The 21,244-nt window shown below is 46.8% G+C and overlaps 1 long non-coding RNA gene across 1 annotated transcript, besides 1 other annotated feature; it reads left to right on the forward strand.

Annotated features, from left to right (window-relative positions):
• The first annotated feature begins 730 nt into the window (after positions 1–730).
• Positions 731–6,509, forward strand: LOC105373461 (uncharacterized). The gene is made up of 2 exons (NR_188370.1): positions 731–880; positions 6,300–6,509. It is a non-coding gene; the product is annotated as an uncharacterized LOC105373461 (long non-coding RNA).
• Positions 20,234–20,750: an enhancer, noted in NCBI's record as "H3K4me1 hESC enhancer chr2:19930957-19931473 (GRCh37/hg19 assembly coordinates)". NCBI's record gives its function as "activates a minimal SCP1, AML or CMV promoter by ChIP-STARR-seq in primed H9 embryonic stem cells {active_cell/tissue: H9 hESC(primed)}" and the evidence as "EXISTENCE:reporter gene assay evidence [ECO:0000049][PMID:30033119]".

A 21,244-nucleotide genomic window follows, 5' to 3' on the forward strand; every position in this document is an offset into this window, starting at 1 on the left:
ATTTTATGTGAGCATAATTCCAGATGAATAAAGAAAGTATCTAGAATTGATGTTAATAAAACTAATTAAGAAAAAAACTAATTAAGAAAACATAAAGAAAAATAGCAGAAAGTATGGAAACTTCATGAGGGCAGGGATTTTTGCCTGTTTTGTTTATCGCTGTATCTCCAGCACATAGAGTAACACTTGCTGCATAGGAAGGGCTCAATACATTATTGAAAAGATGAATGAATGAATGAAACTTTTTTCCATTATAAATTTTCTGATTATATCCTTTGTCACATTTTCTACTAGGGTTTTTTTTCTTTAATTACTATAATTTGCTTTCAAAAAAAGTCTTCTTAAAGATTCTTAAAGAATCTCTCAAATTTGTTGTCTTTTCATTTATTTCATTTACATGCAAAAAACAACTTATTTGTATGAGGTTAGCCAACCCAGTCAGTTCTCTTTTATAACTTCTTCTGCTTATCATTATCTACAGAAAGTCCTTCCTGATTCCAAAGAGCAGTCTGATCCAAGTTATTTCAACTGGGGGGCTAGCACATCCTCTTCCTCTTCCAAGGCCAGGGCCCACTTCACAGGCATCTGATTCAGAAGATTTCCCTCCCTAACTAGACTCATCAAACCCCAAGCTTCCTTTCTCTGCTCACTCTTTTGCATAATTACACAGTGAGGTCATGTGTTTACCATACCATTGTTCCATCGCCATGGAGATGATGAGCGACAAAGCACTGGCAAGAAGCCTCCCATGCAGGATGAAGCCAAGGAAGAAGAGAAGAGAGGAAGGACACGCCCATTAACCAAAGGACCCAAAACATATCTCAAGGAGCTCATGAAGTCATCCTCATGCACACAGTTTCCCAGGTGTCAGATCTGTTTGGTAAGCACATAACCTTCCAACCCAGCTCAGCATGTAGCTGCACCCAACAAGCAGCCTCTGACCTCAGAAGATGAGGTTCCTGTCCCTTTTAACCACTGGGGCCCCTGATGTGATCCTGGGCTGGCTGGTGGCCTCTTGTTTTCTCTAAGAATATAACTCCCTGTTTGTAATCACTTTACTGCATCATTCTTACCCTCTCTTCTCCCTCCAGATTCAAAAATGTGCTCCCCTCTACTTCCAGGACAATCTCTCTAAGACAAGAATCTGACTGCCTTACTCATATTGTAAAGTTAAGTTAGTGAACCACCATTGTTCTAAGGGAAAACATTCTAAATTCCTCATGATCTGGCCCCTGCTTCTATTTCCAGCCAACTTCTTACCGCCCACTTCTTTGTGCTCTACTCCAACTATATTCTGCCTAGCGTTTGAAAATACTGCTTTTTCCATCTAAAATAATAACTTCCTTTTACTGATAACACTGACCTAGGCAGAGTCCTAAGAAGGTGGCCTGTATATCCTCTAGGTAAGGAAATTAGGGTTCAAAGTGGTTCAACAATTTACCTAGGGTCGTACAGCTTTTAAGTAGCAGAGCAGAGATTTGAATCCAGGTCTTTCCAACTGTAAAAGTTGTGACCCTTCTACTACCTAGGGTGACCTACCATCTTAATTTGCCCAAAACTATCTCAGTTTTAGCACTGAGAGTCCCACATCCTGGGAAGACTCTAAGCCCCAGTGAATCTGGGTAGTTGGTTTGTTAGGCCATTATTGCATTGCTATAAAGAAATACCTGAGATTGGGTAATTTATAAAGAAAAGAGGTTTCATTGGCTCACAGTTCTGCAGGCTGTACAAGAAGCATGGTGTTGGCATCTGCTTGGCTTCTGGGGAGGCCTCAAGGAGCTTTTACTCAATGGCAAAAGGCGAAGCAGGTGCTTGCATATTACATGGTAATAATTCACTTATTGAGAAGACAGCCCTTCTCTCCTTTAGCCCCAAGCCATGAGAGATCCACCCCCATGACCCAGTCACCTCCCACCAGGCCCCATCTCCAACATCAGGGATTACAATTCCACATAAGATTTGGTGAGGACACACATTCAAACCATATAAGTTGGCTACCCTTCAGCAACCCTTTGCTGCGGCCTTTCCTATTCATGCCAATTCATCTTTCACACATGAGCTCGCTCGCTCTCTCTCTCTTTCTCTCTCTCTGCCTCCTCCAGGAAGCCTTCCAAGACTGCCCCACATCACAGAAATATATTTCCTCTGTCCTGCCACATTCCTGGGCCTGCCTCCATCCCAACTAATCACCTTATATCAAAAAGACCTGTTTACCTTTTAATCTCTTTTGCTAGAGGATAAACTTTCCTGTATCTTCGAACCAAGACCCATTCATCTCTGTTGCCCCAGGGCTTGTCAAAAAGTAGGAGCTCAATTACTGGTTGTTCACTGAATGGGCAAATGTGATAAGAACTGCTCTGTGGGTACCCTGGTGGCCGTATCTCCTGAGAAAGTGGTTTCTAGAAATAACTTTGCAGTCTCAAAATTCCTAAGAAGGCCCTCTCTGGAGCCTCGCAATCAGCAAGCATGACCCAAGCAATTGCTCTGCTTGGAACCCATGGGCCCCACAAGGTCTGTATCTGACCCAAACTCCTCTGTTGCTAGTTTTTAAGCCCACTGATATCTCTAATGCCCTCCTTAAAAGTCTCTAGTAATGTTAGTTTGTGGGATCCATTTACAAAGCTGTTCCAGGAAGAAAGAGGAGGGAGGGAAGGAGATACGGAAAATTCATCACTTTCCAAATGGCTTCTGCTCTGATGCAGAAATGGTGCTGGCACACAGAGGCCACAGGTGGAAACGGCATCTTCACCCTGCACCTACACAAAACCTGTTCTACCCCCACGTGCCCTCTGAGAAGAGGGAAGACCAGTTAATCATCCAGAGAGAAAGAGAATGAGGGTCACTTCCCTGGAGCTCAGGTGCGCTGCCCCATGAACAGGCAACATGAAACTTAGGAAGAGACAAAAGAAGAGCAAACTCCATTGTTGAGTGAAAGAAAGAGTTCAGATTCAGGCTGGTTCTGATTTATCCAAACAAGTCCCACTGCTCTGGTGAGCAATTGTTAGAATCAAAACCACCTGACACGTGTCAAAACACCAGCATCACTGCCCACCGGCAGCATGTGAGGGGCAGATATTTGATCCAGCCACCGTCTTTTCCCTCCTGCCTCGCTCCATGATGAAAGCAATGTGTCCTGACCCCCTACTTCTCCCCACCACTGACACTCTGGAGGGGCTTAGGGAAGCCTTCACAAATAATTAATTTTAGCTGTTGGGAGAAATACAGATGAAAAACGGTCAGGGATGAGAAGAGAAGCGGTGATGGGAGAACAGGAAATTGATGCCCAAAAAAACTCAACAGTGGGGCCACAGCTTAGTGGGCCAACCAGATATTTGTATCAACAATAACCTAGACTATTTATATGATCCCTCCATATGCACAGCACTTAAGGGTTCACAAAGCACTCACAAATGTTCATTAGCTCCTGTCGAGCACTGCACCTGATTTTTGAGGTAGGAAGGTCAGTGATGATTAGTCTCACTGTGTAGACGGCAAATCTGAGGTGCAGAAAGGTTAAGCAACTTACCAAGTCCACAGCTGGTAAAAAATGGAGCCCAAATTTAAACCCAGTTCTTACCCCAGATTGCATTTCTTTAAGAAACCCTCTTGTGACACGAGTGCCAAACATGGTTCTGATATGCCCGCATTGAATCCTTCTAATCCTCCTGGGCTGTACTCATTGCTCCACCCTTGTCTCCTTTAGCTCCTGCCCTGTCAAAACGTCCAAGAGATATCTTTGTGACAAGTGAGCATTACCAAATTTACTGCAGAGCCCCCTTAGGAAATCAAATTGAGGTCAGGGGGAGACTTTGTTCCTCCCACCTTGGCTTTTGCAGTTCTTTCCACCAACTTGAATGAGTACTCTGAACCCCCACTGTGTGCCAGACCTGGAGCCAGGGATCAAGGGAAGCGACCCACCCTCACCCCTAGACCATGGCCAATCCATGCCCATGTGCCATCTGGGTCTCAGCGAACCAGTGGACAGGGCTGGAACTTCCCAGGAAGAAAATGTGGGAAAATTCAGGGAGAGCCCGAGGGGAAAAGGGTAGATTCTGAGGTCAAACACAAAATAGGGTCACAGGATTATATCCAGTGCCCTAGCTGGCAGAAAACGTAGGTACCCACTAGCCAAGGAAGTGGTTTGGGCATTGGTGATCATATTTCTGATTCACACCACAAGATATAAACATCCATTCAGTAAAGCACACAGCCTCTCACCACATTTGGAAGAACTTCTCCCTGAAATTCCACTGGTTTCTAAAACCTTTTAAAACTACATTTGACCTTTCAGCTCCTGTAAGAGTTTAAAGCAGATGGGCCTACAAATAGGGCAATCGTCTACTGAGAGGGCAGAGCAAGGGAATTTCTACAAAAACTTTTGAGTACTTGTGGGGGACCAAACTCCCATTACCAGACTCTGCCGACCTCTCACCCCACACTTAAAGGCTTCCTTAGCAACACCCCTAAACCAGCCAATAGGATTCCAGTTAATGACTGCGACCAGCCTGGGAGCGGCCAATCTGTGGTGGGTGCAGGGTCCTCTCGTTTGATGGAAACCCACCCTCCAATCTGGTCTCAGAGTTCAGCTTTCCATGAAAATAGCACTGAGCAAGCCTCTTATTCCACTCAGTTTCTTTGGCTCAAAGAAATGCAAGTCTACCTTATTGCAGGGGAACTCTCTGCTCAAGCAGGAGAGTTTGGTCATCTCTGGATTTGAGGAGCTCCCCGGGCTTCATTTCTTCCCCAGATCTCCCCATAGCTACCCTCCCTCAGGGCAGCCCAGATATAGGAACTAGACCTTTCATAAGGACTCTTAAAGTGTCCTGTGCCTGGAGTCCGAGGAATGTTCTTCTGCTCTTCTGGTCCTGCCCTAATCCCTTTCCAGTTTCTCCAGCTGCTGGAGATGAAGAAGTAATGATTTCCCCCTCCCCCTAGAAGCTAGGACCTAAGGGGATAATGGATCCAATTGCTCTTCAAGCTCTCCAGCCTTGTGGAGCTCAATGTTCAAAACAAACAAAGAAACAACAATAACAACAACAACAACAACAAACACCCTTACATAGAGAAAGTACTCATCTGAAAACCGATAATCACCCATATCCACAGGTAGGCATTTCCATGGCTTGTAGATTACCCACAGGCTTATAAAAGGACCCCTAGGGCCTGACATATCAAAGGAAGGGTAAAAGTTTTGTTGGCCTCAGAATGCTTCCCTGGCTCACTTATTTGGAGCCTCCATTAGGAGAGCCAAAGATGAGTGTCATCCTTGGCCCATGGGCAGCCTGCCCAGAGTGACCAGCTGGGTAAGGTAGCATGGGCATGGGGGCTTGGATAGCTAAGAAGGGAATGGGGTAGGGGGGAGCTCTGAGGCCCACTGTCTCAGAAACAATCTCTGGTGTTTTGGAGGCAATGCACAGAAGCCCAAGGAAGGCTGACTCTAACTGAGAGAGGACAGAATGGCAGAATTTTAAGGGTTTTTCAGAGACCCTAATGCCTCCTTCAATTGTCCCTTACTTCTATATAAAATGCAACATTAGTAGTACAGTTCTTTGAGAGGTAATAAGCCTGGACCCAAACCCCAGTAACACTACCCCAAGTTGGCACTCAGTGACATTATTTCCAAATTTCCAACCCCCAGAACTTTGCCATTAAGATAAAAACCACCAATAATACCATTATACCATTACACATTGTGTCCCTGCGTTTTTATTTGTTTTGTTGTTGTTGTTTGTTTTTTGAGACAGGGTCTGGCTCTGTCACCCAGGCTGGGGCACAGTGGTGCGATCATGGCTCACCGCAACCTCAACCTCCACAGCTCAAGTGATCCTCCCACTTTAGCCTCCTGAATAGCTGGGACTACAGGCATGCACCACCACACCTGGCTAATTTTTGTACTTTTTGTAGAGACAGGGTTTCACCATGTTGCCAGGCTGGTCTCAAACTCTTGGGCTCAAGCGATCCTCCTGCCTTGGCCTCCCAAAGTGCTAGTATTACAGATGTGAGCCACCATGCCCAGCCCCTGTGCTGCATTTCTTTAGCAAATTGTTTTTGGTTTTAAAGTGACTTATAACCTTCTATCAGAGCTTCAGAGAGGCAGTGGCTGCAGGGAAAGTCACAGAGAGGAGAACTAGACTCTCGCCCCACTATGCCATAGTGGCTCGTGCCTTCTGGTCTTTTCCTTTCCACTGATTCTGCTCTTCTGCAGGTATAATTAGTAAGGACGGGGTAATGCTGGAGTAGGGTGGGTCTTTCATTCAATATGGTGGATGTCCTTATAAAAATGAGGTATCTGGCTGCAGGGCCACAAACCTAAGAAGAACATCATGTGAGGATGAAGGCAGAGAGCAGGGTGATGCAGCTGAAGCCAAGGACACTGAAGACTTCCTGCAAACCCCCAGAAGCTGGGGCAGAGGCCCTCCAGTCTCCAGAAGAGGCCAACCATGCTGATACCTTGACCTTGGACTCCTAGCCCCAGAACTATGAGAAATAAATTTCTGTTATTTAAGTCACTCAGTTGTCTTACTTGGTTGTGGCAGCCCTGAGAGGCTAATTCTCAGCGCTTTCTCTGAATGTCCTCAACACTCTCCTGGTTCTCCTCCTGCCTCAAAAGCACTCCTCAGCTGGTTCCTTTCATTTCTCCAGAGTTTATATAGGAGTCTCCTGAGCCAAGCAACTCATGTCTCTTCTTTTCTTTCCCAACACTCTGTCCCTGGGTGATTTCCAATTGTCTCATGGGGCTTTAGAAACCACGTATGTGCCAATTTAAAATTACCTCTCCCAGACCCATAGATCCAATGGCCTACTTGGCATCTCCCAGTGAATACTTAACAGGCATCTCAAACATAACAAGTCCAAAGCCTTCCCCCAAGGGGCTGGGTGGCAGACTGGGCCCCAGGCCCCAAGGAGAAGGGGCACTTCTCAGGCCAAGCCTTGGGATCAGTTGATGCTGTACCCTGGGAGGGAAGTGGCTATGCTCTGGCATGTTGGCTCGACAGGATATGAGTCCCAGGGAATGCTGGGTGTTTGGGTACAGTGGAGAATGGGACAGATGCGGTACCTGCCTGTGGAGCCCATATTCTTGACTCTCCCAATGCGTTTCTATCCCAGTCCATAAGAAATTGTACAGGCCAGCTGGAAGAACACACTTCAGGACTACTAACATGTCTAAATTTTAATCTAAATTTGCCATGTTAAGAACAACAGCCCTTTTATATTTCAAAACTAAACCACACTTGGGCAAGTTGAGTGGATGAAGCTTTATCAATATGGGTAGGTAATGTGGAAGGGTGGGATTCAGAAATGAAAGGGGAGGGTCTGTACTGGACATACCAAATCATGCCAATGAGCATAGCCATTATCTGTGTGTATAGACAGATTCTTCCAAAGGATATAAGTTATTCCTCCAAAGTTAGGTCAGAATTCAAACTGCACAGTGAACACTAAAATTACTTAATATGCTATTTTTTTAAATGTGCAAACAAGCCAGCAAATAATATTCACTAACGGGAGAAAACCAACGTATTCAAACACTTTCGAGGCCTGTACAAAGTATAATAATTTAAATTCTTTCCACTTCATGAAAACAATTCTTCCTCCTCCATCACTCTCCTTCCACGTTTAGGAAGCAATTCGCAGATCCACTCAAATTTATATCCAAATTGCAGCTTTTAAAATGCTAGCTCATCAATGATTCTGATAGGCTATGCTTCCCGCCAATCCCAGCGCATTTTACTCTTTCAGTACCTGAGGGTCCAATCCTGTTATCTAGATATGCCATCCTGTGAGCCCCACCTTGGCCTCGTGTCTCTGCCACTTGGCTTGGCATCATTAGAATAGCATTTCATTTGAGAACTCAGGACCACCCAGAACTTGGATTCCCTGGGGGCCCAGGTTGCTCAAGGAGGGAGCGATTGTGAGCCAACATAACAAGGATGCTTTCCAGAGTCCCCAGGGTTTGGCCGGGGAAAGCTCCACCTGAGCGTGAGGTCGCCAGTGAGCTACCCCGCAGCTGATCGCTGAATTCAGGTGCAAAGGGTGGCAGGGAGAAAGGCTTGTCCAGGAGTACCTGGAAGCTGGGCACAGCAAGTGCCTGTCCCACCAGCAAAGGCCTTCAGCAGCTTCTCTGGCAACAGGCAAATTCCTGGAGTCTGGGTTGGGCCCTCCTCCATGTAGGGCTCTCGTTTCTTGCCCTTCCTGGTTCCCCCTCTCCAGTTTCTATCTCGATGCAGATCCCCTGCCCTAGGGGACCAGCATGAGGGACTATGTGCTGAAGAGCAGCAAGGCCAGAAGAAGGGACATCACACCAAGAGGCTTAGTAAGGTGGAGGCCAGGCACCAGCCAGCCCAGCATGCTCCCCCCAATCCCCTCTGTCTCATGTGCCCCTTCCCAGCCAAGCCCCTGTGATTCAAGCTCCCATACTTGGCCTGTGAGCCCAGCTCTCTCTGCCTGGGAACCTCTTCCAAGAGACAGCGTTTACAGCAATTAGGTCTCCCTTGACTTCTCCGTAAGAGAACACTGCATGCTCTGGTGGGCAGAGAGCATCTTACCCAGAAAATACAGAGGAACCTCTGCCTTGGGGCCCGCTTGGGGTTTGCTTGGAACCAGTTTGAGAAATCTTGGCACCTGAGTCTTCATCAGGCACACTTGGGATGCCCGAATCAGGGCCAGATGGATGAAATTACCCTTGAAATGTAGGCAAGATTACAATCCGGACCAGGAGGGAGGACGTGGGCATTCAGGGATAAAAATGCCTGGGTTGTGTGGTGCTGGCACCCAGCCATGGGACAGAACATTTGAAAGTGGTGACAAAGCTTCCAGCTTTGCCAGGTTTGGAGAGTTAGCTCAAGGCTTTGGGCCAGACAGGCAGAGACACTGAGGAGTAAGAAGGGATGGACCTGAGATAAGGGCCAGAGCATCTCAAAGTCTCTGCCATCCATGCCTTTGCCTCCCCGCAAAAGGTCTGCCCATAAAACAGCTCATGAGGTTATTGAAACATGATGGAAACTTCCAAATTGCCTTCAATGATATTATTCCAGGCCGGGGCTGTGTCCTAGCTAAGCTAACAACCCTGGAGTTGATTGCAGGAGTTGAATCCCTATGCAAAGGGAGGGAAAAATGACAACTCGCTAAATGCAAAGAAAGAAATCGGGCTTGGGCCCATGAGAATGGCCCTGGACCTGGGGTATGACAATCCAAGCAGGCCAAATAACAGCAGATGAGCCAAGGGCCAAGAAGGTGGGTGTGCAGGAGAGTCCAGGTGCCCAGCCAGAAGGTAGACAAACACTCAGGAAAAGAGGCAATGACATTGGGTGGATGGAGGTTGACAGCATCTTGCAAAAGATACTAGCTGCAAAGAAGGGGCTGGATTCCAAGCCAGAAGACTGCGAGCGAGCTGTCCTTCCTCTGGACCCCACCCCTGGCTTTCCCACTCCCAGGGCACTTGCCACACAGCTTCACTCGCATGTCTGTGTCTGCCCCATCAGACAGTGCCTGTTGTGTGTGTTTCCGGAAGATACCAAACATGAAGCAGAGCTGGTACTCAGTAAGAGGGTGTTGAGAGAATGAATACATGACACTGAGAACCACCAGAACATCAGAGGGGAAGCCTGAAACACATCAGACTGCAGTGCATGTTCTTAGAGCTCCACTCACCCCACCCCTACAAGTGATTCCAGAACTAACTTGGCCCCTTCGGTTGGGTTTTTTGTTTTGTTTTTTTCTGGCAGAGCTCAATGCAAGAAGCCCAAAGGCCAAAGCAGCACAGTAGTCCTCTGACCAGGCAGGTGGAGAGCCACCTTGGGCACAGATTTCCTGATAAGAAAAGAGCCCATAAGAATGGTTCCCTCTGTGCTTCCTTCCTCTGGGTTCTCATTCCCTCTTCTTGTAGCTTTAAATGCCATCTCTGAGGGCTTATGACTTCCAACCATCTATCCCCTGCTTGGTCCTTGTCACTGAAATCCAGGCCCATTACATAGCTGCCTATTGGCATCTCCATCCAGATGTCTAACAACGTCTCAAACTTAACATGCCCCAAACCAAACTCCTGACCACCCAGCCAAACCTGAGTCACTAAAGCCCTCCCCTTCTCAGTCAATAGCAAATCCATTCTTCTAGTTGCCAAGCTATGATAGTGAATTTGATGTGTCAACTTGGCTGGGCCACAGTGCCTAGATAGTTCATCAAACGTTATTCTGGATGTTCCTATGAGGAAGTTTTCTTTTCTTTTTATTGGACGAGATGAATATTTAAATCAGTAGACTTCGAGTAAAGAAGATTGGCCTCCATAAGTGTGGGTCTCATCCAATCAGTTGAAGGCCTGAACAGAACAAAAGACTGACTTCCCCCAAGCAAGAGGGAATTCTCCAACAGATGGCCTCGGACTACACACTGGCTTTTCCCTGGGTCTTTAGCCTGATGGCCCACTCTATAGATTTTGGACTTGTCAGCAGCCTCTACAATCATGTGACCCAATTCCTTAAAATAATCTCCTTCCCTCTCTGTCTCTACATGTATGTACACATACACACACATATATTATTGGTTCTGTTTCTCTGGAGAACCCTGACTAATATCCAAGCCAAAAGTCCTGGAATCATCCTTGACTCCTCTCTCTCCTAACCCCACATCAAATCCCACCACAAATGGTACCAGTTCAACCTTCAAATTACATCCAAAATCTCATGACTTTGCACCACTACCACTAACTACCCACCAGCCAGCCGGGTGTGGTGGTGCATGCCTGTATTCTCCGCTACTCGGGAGACTGAGGTAGGAGGATTGCTTGAGCCCATCAGGTCAAGGCTGGCTGCAGTAAGCCGTGATTATGCCACTGCACTCCAGCCTGGGTGACAGAGCAAGACCCTGTCTCAAAAAAAAAATAATGAAATAAAATAAAATCTCACACACATGCCCAATACTCCCCATTACCACCTTGTTTTGTTTTTCACCGTAGCCCATATCAATATTTAATATCCTGTACACATTTCTTATTATCCTATTTATTTTCCCAACTCAAGTGCAGAACCCATGCAGAATAGGAAACTGTGTCTCTTACTCTTTCTTCAGGGTCTAACCAGTGCCCAGCAGTAGTAGGCATGTCCGTTCAGGCTGCTATCACCAAATACCACAGAAGAGGTGACTTATTAACAACACGCATTTATTTCTCACTGTTTTGAAGGCCGGGAAGCCCAAGAGCAAGTTATTGGCAGATTCCAGGTCTTGTGAGGGTCTGCTCCCTCAGAGACAGCCCTCTTCACACCATGTCCTCGCATGGTGGAAGGGGTGAGGAGTGTCTTGGAAGCCTAGTTTTATAAGGGCACTAATTCCATTCATGAGGGCTCCACCCCCATGGGCTAATCCCCTCCCAAAGGCTCTACCTCCTAATAATTATGCTGGGGTGGAGTTCCATATATGAATCTGGGGACAACATAAACATTCAGACCACAGCAGTATCCCATAAATATGTGTTTAACAAATGAATAGGTGAACGGGTGCACCAGTTATATCTTCGCATGAGGTGGGGTCTCTTTGCTTCTGTTCCTCAGACCAGCATCAGTTTTTGAGTCTGTGTGGGCCAACACCCACCTGAGCCATGCAGGCTGGAGAGCTCCAGGCTGGAAATGAGCCTACCCCTCTCCAGCCCCATGCTTGGCTGGGTGCCCAATAAAAGTTCTGCATGTTACACACACTGGTAATTAAAATCCTGGAAAAAACTCTTCACTAGGCCTCCTTCCTCAACTATGAGACATTTTGAATGCTCGACTGGAAATGCTGAACACTGCGGAGCCTGGATGGGGGTTTTAAAAACAAAGTGATGATGACAATATGTGATCTTCACAGCCCTCCCCCACCAGCCCTGTAGGAGCGGCTGTTGAATTGCAAGGCCCTCTAATTCCCCAATTCCCAGGAGAGCAGGTCTTCCCTCAACATGCATTCTATGTGGGAAAAATAAATCACTGTTTTTCTGAAGTTCAGGGGTGAGTTTATTTTTAAGTCATCTGATTCTCTGAGGCAAGAGACAAAAAGATATCCCAAGACTGAAGAAAAGAGCCAGGACTTGGAAGAGACATGAGAGACAGAGAGCAGAATTATAATCAATGTTAAATCAAAGTCCAGATTGTTCCGTTTCATGCGGTTCTGTTTCATTTCTGTGCCTCCTCTGTTGCCATGATAACCTGTCAACAAACAAGTGATGGAGAGGAACTGAATGAGCTGGGGCTGAGCAGAGCTGGTCCACCTGCCCAACTGGGCTCTCCATTATCCCCCGCACCTGGTGCATGGGCCAAGCTGAGTCAGGAACTCAGGAGAACTCAGGTGGCGGTGTCCTACCCACATGCCCCGTGCTCCCTCAGTGCCTCTCCTGCAGTACTTCCTGTGGGGCAGCTGTCATGGGGGAGAGGGTGCTGCAAACATGCGTGGTCAGCACAGGAACCAAAAACTCGACCACCACTCATTCTCCTTCATGTACCCATCTCCATCCCAGAATTAGGAGAGCCCAGTGCTGAGCTTGGCATAGTTGATAAGTGAACCATAACGGTAACTAACATTTCCATGCACCTCCAATTTGCCAGGTGTTTTACATGTAATAACATGTTGAATCTTCACAACAAATCTATAGACAGGGTTATTACCCTCATTTTACAGATGTGAAATCAGAGGCCCAGAGATGATAAGTAATAGCCCAAGGCTAGTGGGTGCGACTGGGGTTTGAGCAAAGGCAACCACATCTGAAGCCAGAGGGGGTAAGCACCACTCCATTCTGCTTCCCATGGTTGGAGGGCTCACCAACCACTAAAGACATCACTTCCTGCACAGATATCTTCTGCCAAGCTCCTGCCACACGGGCCTCCTGGATTGCAAACATCCTAGGGCCTGTGCACTGAGCCCTCACTGACAGGCATGCTTGTTCTTCTGAATCTCTACTTGGCCCACAGTCTCCCGGTCTCAGCTCCACTGACCTATCCTGAGAAAGACCTCTCTGCCCCTGCTCTAAAAGTTTCACCCACTGGATTGTCTCTAGGTATTATCCCTGCAATTATCATTGCAGTCACCATCATCTGAAATGATCCTGCTTGTTTACCTATTGTCTAGCTGCCCGCAGTGTTTCAAATTAACTAAGTTCCTCAAAGAGCAGGGGCCTAGATTCTTTTGCTCAACTCACCACAATATCCACCTGGCTCGTAGTTAAGCCCTCAACTGATTTGATTAAATGTGTGAATTAATGACTGAGAGAAGTAGAATGAAAGCCTCAAGAGCAGAGGCCTGGCATCCTAAACACGCACGGAGTAGCGGGCAGCAAAGCATGAGCTCAGAACTGCAGCCAGATCCAGAGGCGGGGAAGGCCTGGGTACCACTGCCCACAGCCTGACCTCCTAACTCAAGTCATGAGTTTCCTTCATGTGGTTTGTGGAATGATGCCCTCCATCCACCTTGTTCCATCCAGAGGTCACCGGCCGCATGCGGCCAGGGAGGCTTCACACCCTGGCTACCACAACTGAGAATATGAACGTTGAATTTTATTTCATTTTAATGAATTTAAAATTAAAAACTAATAGCTCAGTCAGTTATTGGAAAACTTTTAAGTATAGTTGGAACACTTTGGGTGTGTGAATCTGCGTTTTCAACACTCAATTTTATGAACTCTAAATACAGATCAAGTATTGCCAATGAAAATCTAGCATCTGAATAGAAATGTGCTCTAAGTGTAAAATACACACTGGATTTTGAAGACTGAATGCAAAAAAAATGTAAAATATCTCATTAATATTTTTGTATGGATTGCATGTCCACATAATATTTTGGACATATTTGGGTTAAACAAAATCTATTACTAAAATTAATTTCACCTGTTTCTTTTTACTTTTTAATATGGCTACTAGAAAAATTTTAAATGACATATGTGGCTCACATTATATTGCTACTAAGGCTTCTGGCCAATAGAACAGAACTTCTGATTTAAAAACAGGCCCAATTTGAGTTTTAGCAGGAGCAAAACTGAATCGTTAGAGAGAAGTTCCCCTCCTGTATCAGTTTGTCCCTGGAATACTCAGGAGAAAGCTAGGGGTTCTCAGGGCAGCGAGACATCCTTGCTCCAAACACTACGTCACAAACACAACACAGCCCAGCAAACTGACCTGAGGATTAAAATTCAAAGTCCCTCAGGATCAGGGCAAGAACCCTACCATCTCTCAAAACCTGACTACTTCATTTCTTCTCCTACAAAGAAATATTCTTCCCCACTACAATATTATATGCTCTATTTTTTATTTATGTTACAAGAAATTCTGAAATTAATCTAGCTGTATACAAATGGGCTTCCTCTCACAGACAGGAGGCCTATGGGGAAACTAAACAGTTTCCCCGGGAACAAATGTGAATGTGAAAGGGTCAGTCCCTCACGGTGGATTCCACAGGGCCTAGATTTAAAATACAGCCAAGTGGTCGTTTGCTGTCTAGGGGTCACACACGTACTCCAAGTCCCTGGAAAATTCACACCTCTGTTTCACTTTGGGACTTTCAAAACTCACCTTGCAAGCTTCACTACTGAAAATAAAAATTAAAAAAAGAAAAAGAAAAAACACCTGAACCAACCAATCAGAGCTCACCTGCCTTGGCCAGTGAGGGCTCAGCTGTATTGACCAATCAGAATTCAGCTACACCAACCAAGCAGAACTGTCAATTCTTCATTTGCATAAATGGACCTGATTGGGAACCTGGTGAGAAATTTTGCTATAAAACCTGAGCCTTCCCTTTGTTCTCTGGAACACACCTTCATTTTGATGGGAGGCTGCGTCTCCTCAGTTTGTAAACGTCACTGAAATAAAGTCCCTTTCATCCAAATTGTCTTTTCAGACAACTTTTGTTCACGTCCCAAAAGCACCATCTAAAAGCAGCGTAAAAGTGTTTCAGCCTTACATTGTTGCCAAAGACTCCACAATCCATGTCCTTGTCCCTCTGGCCACTGACTAGGAGCTAGAGCCCAAGCCCTTAGTGAGGAAGCTAGGTAACAAGCCCCTCCCAAGCAGTAGCTAATGGGCAACCTTCCTCCCACACTCAGGCAGCTCAGGGCCTCCGGGTTGATCCAGAGAAAGCAACCACCAACCTTTTAGGAATATCTGACGCTTTTATTAGGCAAGAGAATGACAAATCACTGTGTAATCTTTTGACGCTCCAATTGATGCGAAGTTCTTGTTATACAATGAAGCACCAAAATAAAAAAATTAAAAAAAAAAGCCACACGAAATAAAAAGTAGACAAAACCTGAAAGGTAATTTCTTATTGAAAGAGCTAGAAAAGGGGCTTAGGAGGCAAGAGGGATCCAGAGTCTGAGAAATCTTTTATGGCATCTCTCGGACAATAAATTTTTCTGAGAAAAGGCCTCTGATAAGCACATCATACCTCCTTGTCTAAGAGTTGTTGACACTTTAAAGGGAGTTAAGCCTTCGTGCAGTAGAGGCTGTATTATAAGAGCCTCTCTTTGTGGAATGGATTAACTTGATTCACCTGCAATTTGGGCAGCCTCATTCTGCACCCCTCCAAAAAGCAATGGCTGAATGAAAAATCTCCTCCTTCGGCCTGGGGAAATTTGCTTTCCCAGAGCCAATATCCCTGAATGCCCACAAAGGCCCTGGGGTGTTCAACAGTGTGGGGACAGCCCTTCCTATGGGGAAGGGACATCCTGGGAAAAGACACCTGGCCCGAGTCAGGGAGAGAAGAATGCCCCCAACTCTGAAACCAGGTATCCCAAAAGGCTGCCCAGGAGCCAATCTTTGGGAATGAGGCCACTGTCATTGGGGCTTATGGCACCTGGGGTTGGTACTGCTCTTTGTAAACTAACACCTGTAGTAGGCAGAATGAGGGCTTCCCAAAGGTGTCCGTGTCATAATGCCTGGAACCTGTGCCTATGTGACATTATATGGCAAAGAGAAACTAAGATTGCACATGGGATTAAAGTTTCTAACTAACTGACCTTAAAATAGAGATAGCATTCTGGATTGTCTAGGTGTGCCTAATTGTAATCACAAGGGCCCTTAAATGTGGAAGAGGGAGGCAGAACTGTCAGTGCCAGAGTGATGTGACATGAGAAAGACTTGTCCAGCCATTGCTGACTTTGAAGATGCAGGAGAGGGTCATGAGCCAAGTAATCTGTCCAGCCTCTAGATGCTGGAAAGGGCAAGGAAATGGATCCCCTCCTAGAACCTCCAGAAGGAATGCAGCCCTGACAACACCTTTATTTTAGCCCCATAAGCCCCATTTTGCACTGCTGACCTCCAGAACTGTAAGATAATAAATGTATGTTGTTTTCAACCTCCGTGGTCATTCCTTTCTCCACCACCTCCAATGCCCACCTTCCTCCATGATGAACTTGATTTACCTGTAATTCGGACAGATTATGAAAGATGAAGAAGAGTCTCTGCATGAATGAAGTAAAGCCTGTTTAGAGGTTTGCCCCAAAGTTGATTGCATCTGTTTTTAAGATGCTTCCCCCCTCACTTTGGAGTCTTGTTCCCAGGAAGCCATAACCCAGCAGCCACGTTCCACAGGGTCACAGCCTTGCTTTCTGCCTACAGCATTCCCCTGTGTCTTTCATTCCACTGTATCTCCCACCTGTGACACCAAGGGAGAGGAAAGCATGATAGTCGAAGAGAAACATCATACCAATTCTATTTTTCTCTACTGCAGTGTCATAGGCCAAGAGATTTTTCAAAAGGGTCATTAAGAACATTCATTCCTCTCAGTTCTGCAGATGAAGATGTAGGGCCCAGTAGGGCAGGACTTCTTCAGAGCACACAGCCAGTGAGTGACAGAACCGGGTAGAACCCAGGGCTCCTGACTTTCCAGCCAGGGCTTCATATTCGAACTCCCATTCTGGAACTTTCCCAGCCCCACAGCATAGAGAAACTCAGGTCACGGCCACTCAGGAGGTTCACGTTTCCCTTGCCCTGCCCGTTGGCTCTCCTCCCCTCCTTCTGCACCTGCCCACCCTTCCCCAGGGGCTCCCTCCACTGAGGTCTGTCAGGCACTCAGGCCCTCACCCCATAGTTCAGGGACCTGAAGGTGTTTTAGCTTAGACCTAAAGCAGCACAAAAGGCTTAGGACACATCAGCTCCTAGCAAGAAAAAGCTGCTGTAACCACAGGCTTGAGAGACAGGTTAGGTTCCCTGCATCCTGTCTCTTGTCTTCCGCCTCACAAGAAGGTTAACCAGACCCAAGCCTTAAATCCTCAGCCACGCCCATGCCCTGACCACCTTTAGGTCTCTGTTCAATGCTGAGTGAACCCTGTCTCATTTTCGGGGCTGGTAGAGCTCTGTCCATATCCCAGCATCAGCGAATTTCCTTCAAACATCATCACATCATCAGAGGTCTCGGGAGACCCATTCCATCGTCTGCAGATGGAAGATTCCTCATCTGCTTCCTGAGCTTGGGAGCAAAGCTCATTCTTTCTAAAACTAAACCCGCCTTGGGGCCACTGGGGCAGTGATCCTTTAAACCACTCAAATTTGCCTAAGGCCAGAACTCTGATTCCTTCACCTTCATGCCCGCCTTCCCCCTTCCAGCCAGCCCTGCCAGCCTAAGTGGCTGCCCACTCTGTCTAAAAGAACCGAATATTTGACCTTGGCCACTGTTGCCCCATGTTCCTTAAACAAAAATATTCAGGCCCTTTGCCTTGCTCTGCACCAGGGTCCCCCCTTCCTATTAATTATGCAGTAACGAACAACTCTGCTAACCAAAATTGGGGCAGCTACTTGCCTCTAAAAGTCAATAATTAGCCCCACGGGAACAACAAATTCTTGCTGAGCTCCCCCACCGCCCCTTGGCAGCCGCTGGAAGCAGGCCGCCGCTCAAAGCTCAGCTCTTTGGGTCCAATCTGGAATGCATATGTTTCCCTTCAATCATTCACTCCATCAAACCTAAGGCAGGCCTGAGGGGCTGCGGAGGCCCACTACCCTTCTCTGAAAGTCTCCATTAGTATGGGCGTCCTCGTTATAAAGGGATGTTGTATTCACAGGTACCCAATAGCCCCCTGCGCATCTGGGAACACTTTGAGTGATTGCTGGGGAGAGAAGAAATTTGGGTCATAACTAATGATCAACATCCCCTTTTAATCAAATGAAGCCGTCATAATGTGTCTATCCTCCGGGAGAACAAGGCCCTTTCACCTCCGGGAGGTCTGCGGTAGCATTAACCTCTTAGGGTAAGCCATCGGGCTTGGCCTTGCCTGGGTAGGAGGAAGAAGGGGAGCTATCAGATATTCAGCACCTACTGTGTACCAGGCTCTGTGCTCAGCAGCCTCACAAGTGTTCTTGCATTTAATCCTGATCTGCACTAGGTCCACGCTTCTCAGCCTAGGCCTGCAGCAGAAGCACCTGGAAAGCGGGGAGGGCACAGATTGCTGGGCCTCACCCCAGATTTGAGATTCAGTAAAATCTAAATCAGTAGATTCAGTAGACGGAGCCCAAGTATTTGCATGTCTAACAAGTTCCCATGTGATGCCAATCCTGCCAGCACGGGGACCACATCCTGAGAACCAGTGTTGGAGGATAAAAAGACCCCTATTTATTGTCTGCTATGTTCAACACCCTTTACAAATATCATGTGATTTAATCCTCAGGAAAAACCCTATAGCACAAGTGTTGTGGTCCTCATTTTAAAGATGAAACTGAGGATCAAATAAAGCCAGCACTTGCCTAAGACCCCATGATCACACTACTGTGGGGAAGGAGCTATGATTTTAAACACAGATCAGCCTGATGTCAAAGCCCTTGATCCCACCATGCCACAAGAGAGGCAAACTACTGTGAGGTAAGGGTTCAGAGAGGGTGAGCTCATCTCTCCAGGGCACCAGGAAGAATATGATCCTTGCACACCTCACCATGCAGCCTACATCTGGGGCCTTTTGCCCAGATTGGTGCCTGGCCTGTCCTCCCATCCACATGTGGAAGGACACAGCTCTGAGTGCTTTAGGAAACACCTCTGGGTATTCCCTCTGATTCAGCCCCTGTCCAGACACAGGCCTCACCCTCACTGTCTTCTCTCATCCTCATCTTCCAACTCCTTCCAGTGCTGCCCCTCTTCCCCATCCAGTTCAAAAAGTGGCTCCTCCATGATAGTCCCCAAGGACCTGTCTAGCACTCTTACCCCAGAGTTTCTAAGAAATTACTTTTGGTCCTTCAATATGCACAAGCTCAGGACTGCCTGCCCGAAGCACACATTTGCCTCTTGGGGGTGGTTTCTGAAAGAGCTCCTGTCCTCACACTTCTGTGTTCCCAGGTCCCCAGACCAGCCCCTCCAGCATATCAGCAAACCACTTTTGAGCCTTCTCCCCATAATAAGAACTTAGGAAAGCCAGCTGAGAACAAGAAACTATGACTCAGGAGAAGGAAGAGAAGTGAAAATGGCTCTCACATGGAGCTCCTGCTGGGTGCCAGTCATTGTTCTAAGTGCTTTATGTATAGGAGCTCTTGTAATCCTCTGATGTAGGCAGACCATTATCATCACCATTTACAAGTGAGGAAACTGAGGCACAGAAAGATTAAGTGGCCTGTCCAGTGTGGCACAGCTCATAACTGACAGAGCCAGGCTCTGAATTGAAGCAATCTGGCTCCAGAGCCCATACTTGCAACCATGCTATATTGGCAGAAAGAAAGGAGAATTCATTCTCTGATCCTTGCCCTATAAAGAGTCCTAGCCCAATCCGGGAGAAGTGGTAGTAGTAGTGGTTGTTGCATTGTTGTAGTAGTAGTTGTGGTAGTTTTGTATTAGTAGTCGTTGCCATCATATAGTTGTTGTTATAGCTACAGTGATTGTAGTGGTAGTAGCAATTGTAGATGTTTCAGCAGGAGAGGCATTGCTATAGTTGTAGTTGCGGTGGTAATCATAGCAGTTGTAGTAATCGCTGTGGTGATTACTGTGGTAGTAGTTACAGTAGCTGAAGTAGTAGCTGTAGCTGTGCTAGTAGTTGTTGTTACAGTGGTACTTGGTAGCAGTAGTTGATAATGTAGTTGATGTTGTAGTTGCAGTAGTGGTTGTTGTAGTAGTTGTAGTAATTATGGTAGTTGTTGTAGTACTAGTTGCGGCAGTAGTTGTAGTTACTGTAATCAAAGCTAGCAGCATATCAGCAGCAGCAGTATTGAAATCATTACAATGACAGTACAATGACTGTCTTTTGTGGACTGCCTCCGTGCCTGGTGGGAGACAGAGTAGCATGATGCTTAGCAATGCAAACTCCAGAGCTGGACTGGGCTCAGATCCCAGCTCCTTTACAAAATAAGTTGTATGACCCGAGGCAAATCACTCAGGCCCTCAGCCTCAGCTTTCTTGGGTTTAGGTAGGGCTAAGCATACTGCCTACCTCATGCATTTCTCATGAAGATGAAATGAGGAAATCCATATAAAACATTTACGATAGCACCAGGGACACAGTCAACTCCCCATAAATGTCAGTAAGTGAGAGGGTGAAAGAGGAAAACCCCTTCAACAGAGCAACTGCTTCTGAGGCCTTGCATTCTGGTGAGGGTGTTAGATAAGGGAAGGCATCATGTTCAGTTGTTGCTCAGAGGTCAGAGGACAACACAGGGCAAGGTTCCTCTGTATGAAGGTTCTGGGAAGGCTTCAGGGAGTAGGTAGTATTGGAATGGGACCTTACAGCAGGTTGTGTCACCCTGATGAGGGGCCACCCAGATTATCAAGGCATGGCAAACAAGGGGAATGTCACCAGCGTGGGCCTGCCACTTCTGCAGCTTGTCCACAGAGCCACCCCACCCACCATCCCTTCTCCCCACTGTCTGCGCCTAGTGCCACAGTCCAGCCACCTCCCCAGGTGCTGCAATGGCCCTGGGCCCTCCTCACCACTTTCATTCTCCCTTATCTCTGAGAATGCTCCTCCCTAGCTCCTTCATTTGCAAAATAACTAAAAGTCCCTCTTGAAATTCCCTAGTGATCATTGATGGTTTTGTCAGGTCATAGAGGAGAGGCTGTTAGATCAGCTGGTTAAGGGGTTTCCAGTTAAGCTCACCATTAACATGTTTCCTGAGCCCCCAGGGATAGAGCACGCTTTGGAGCAAACCTCTTCCCTACTCTCAGTTCTGTGGAGACTCTGAGGTCCCTTACTGCCATCCAGAAAAGAGAGGTACAATAATTCAATCAGCCCTATTGATGAATCGCCTAAGTGCCACTGGCTTAGCCTTCATGGGCATGGCTCTGATGTGACAGTCCCCTGGGCACTTCTTTTAAAGCCCATCAACTTC

Source organism: Homo sapiens, chromosome 2 (assembly GCF_000001405.40).
Source record: "Homo sapiens chromosome 2, GRCh38.p14 Primary Assembly".
Classification (NCBI taxonomy): domain Eukaryota; kingdom Metazoa; phylum Chordata; class Mammalia; order Primates; family Hominidae; genus Homo; species Homo sapiens.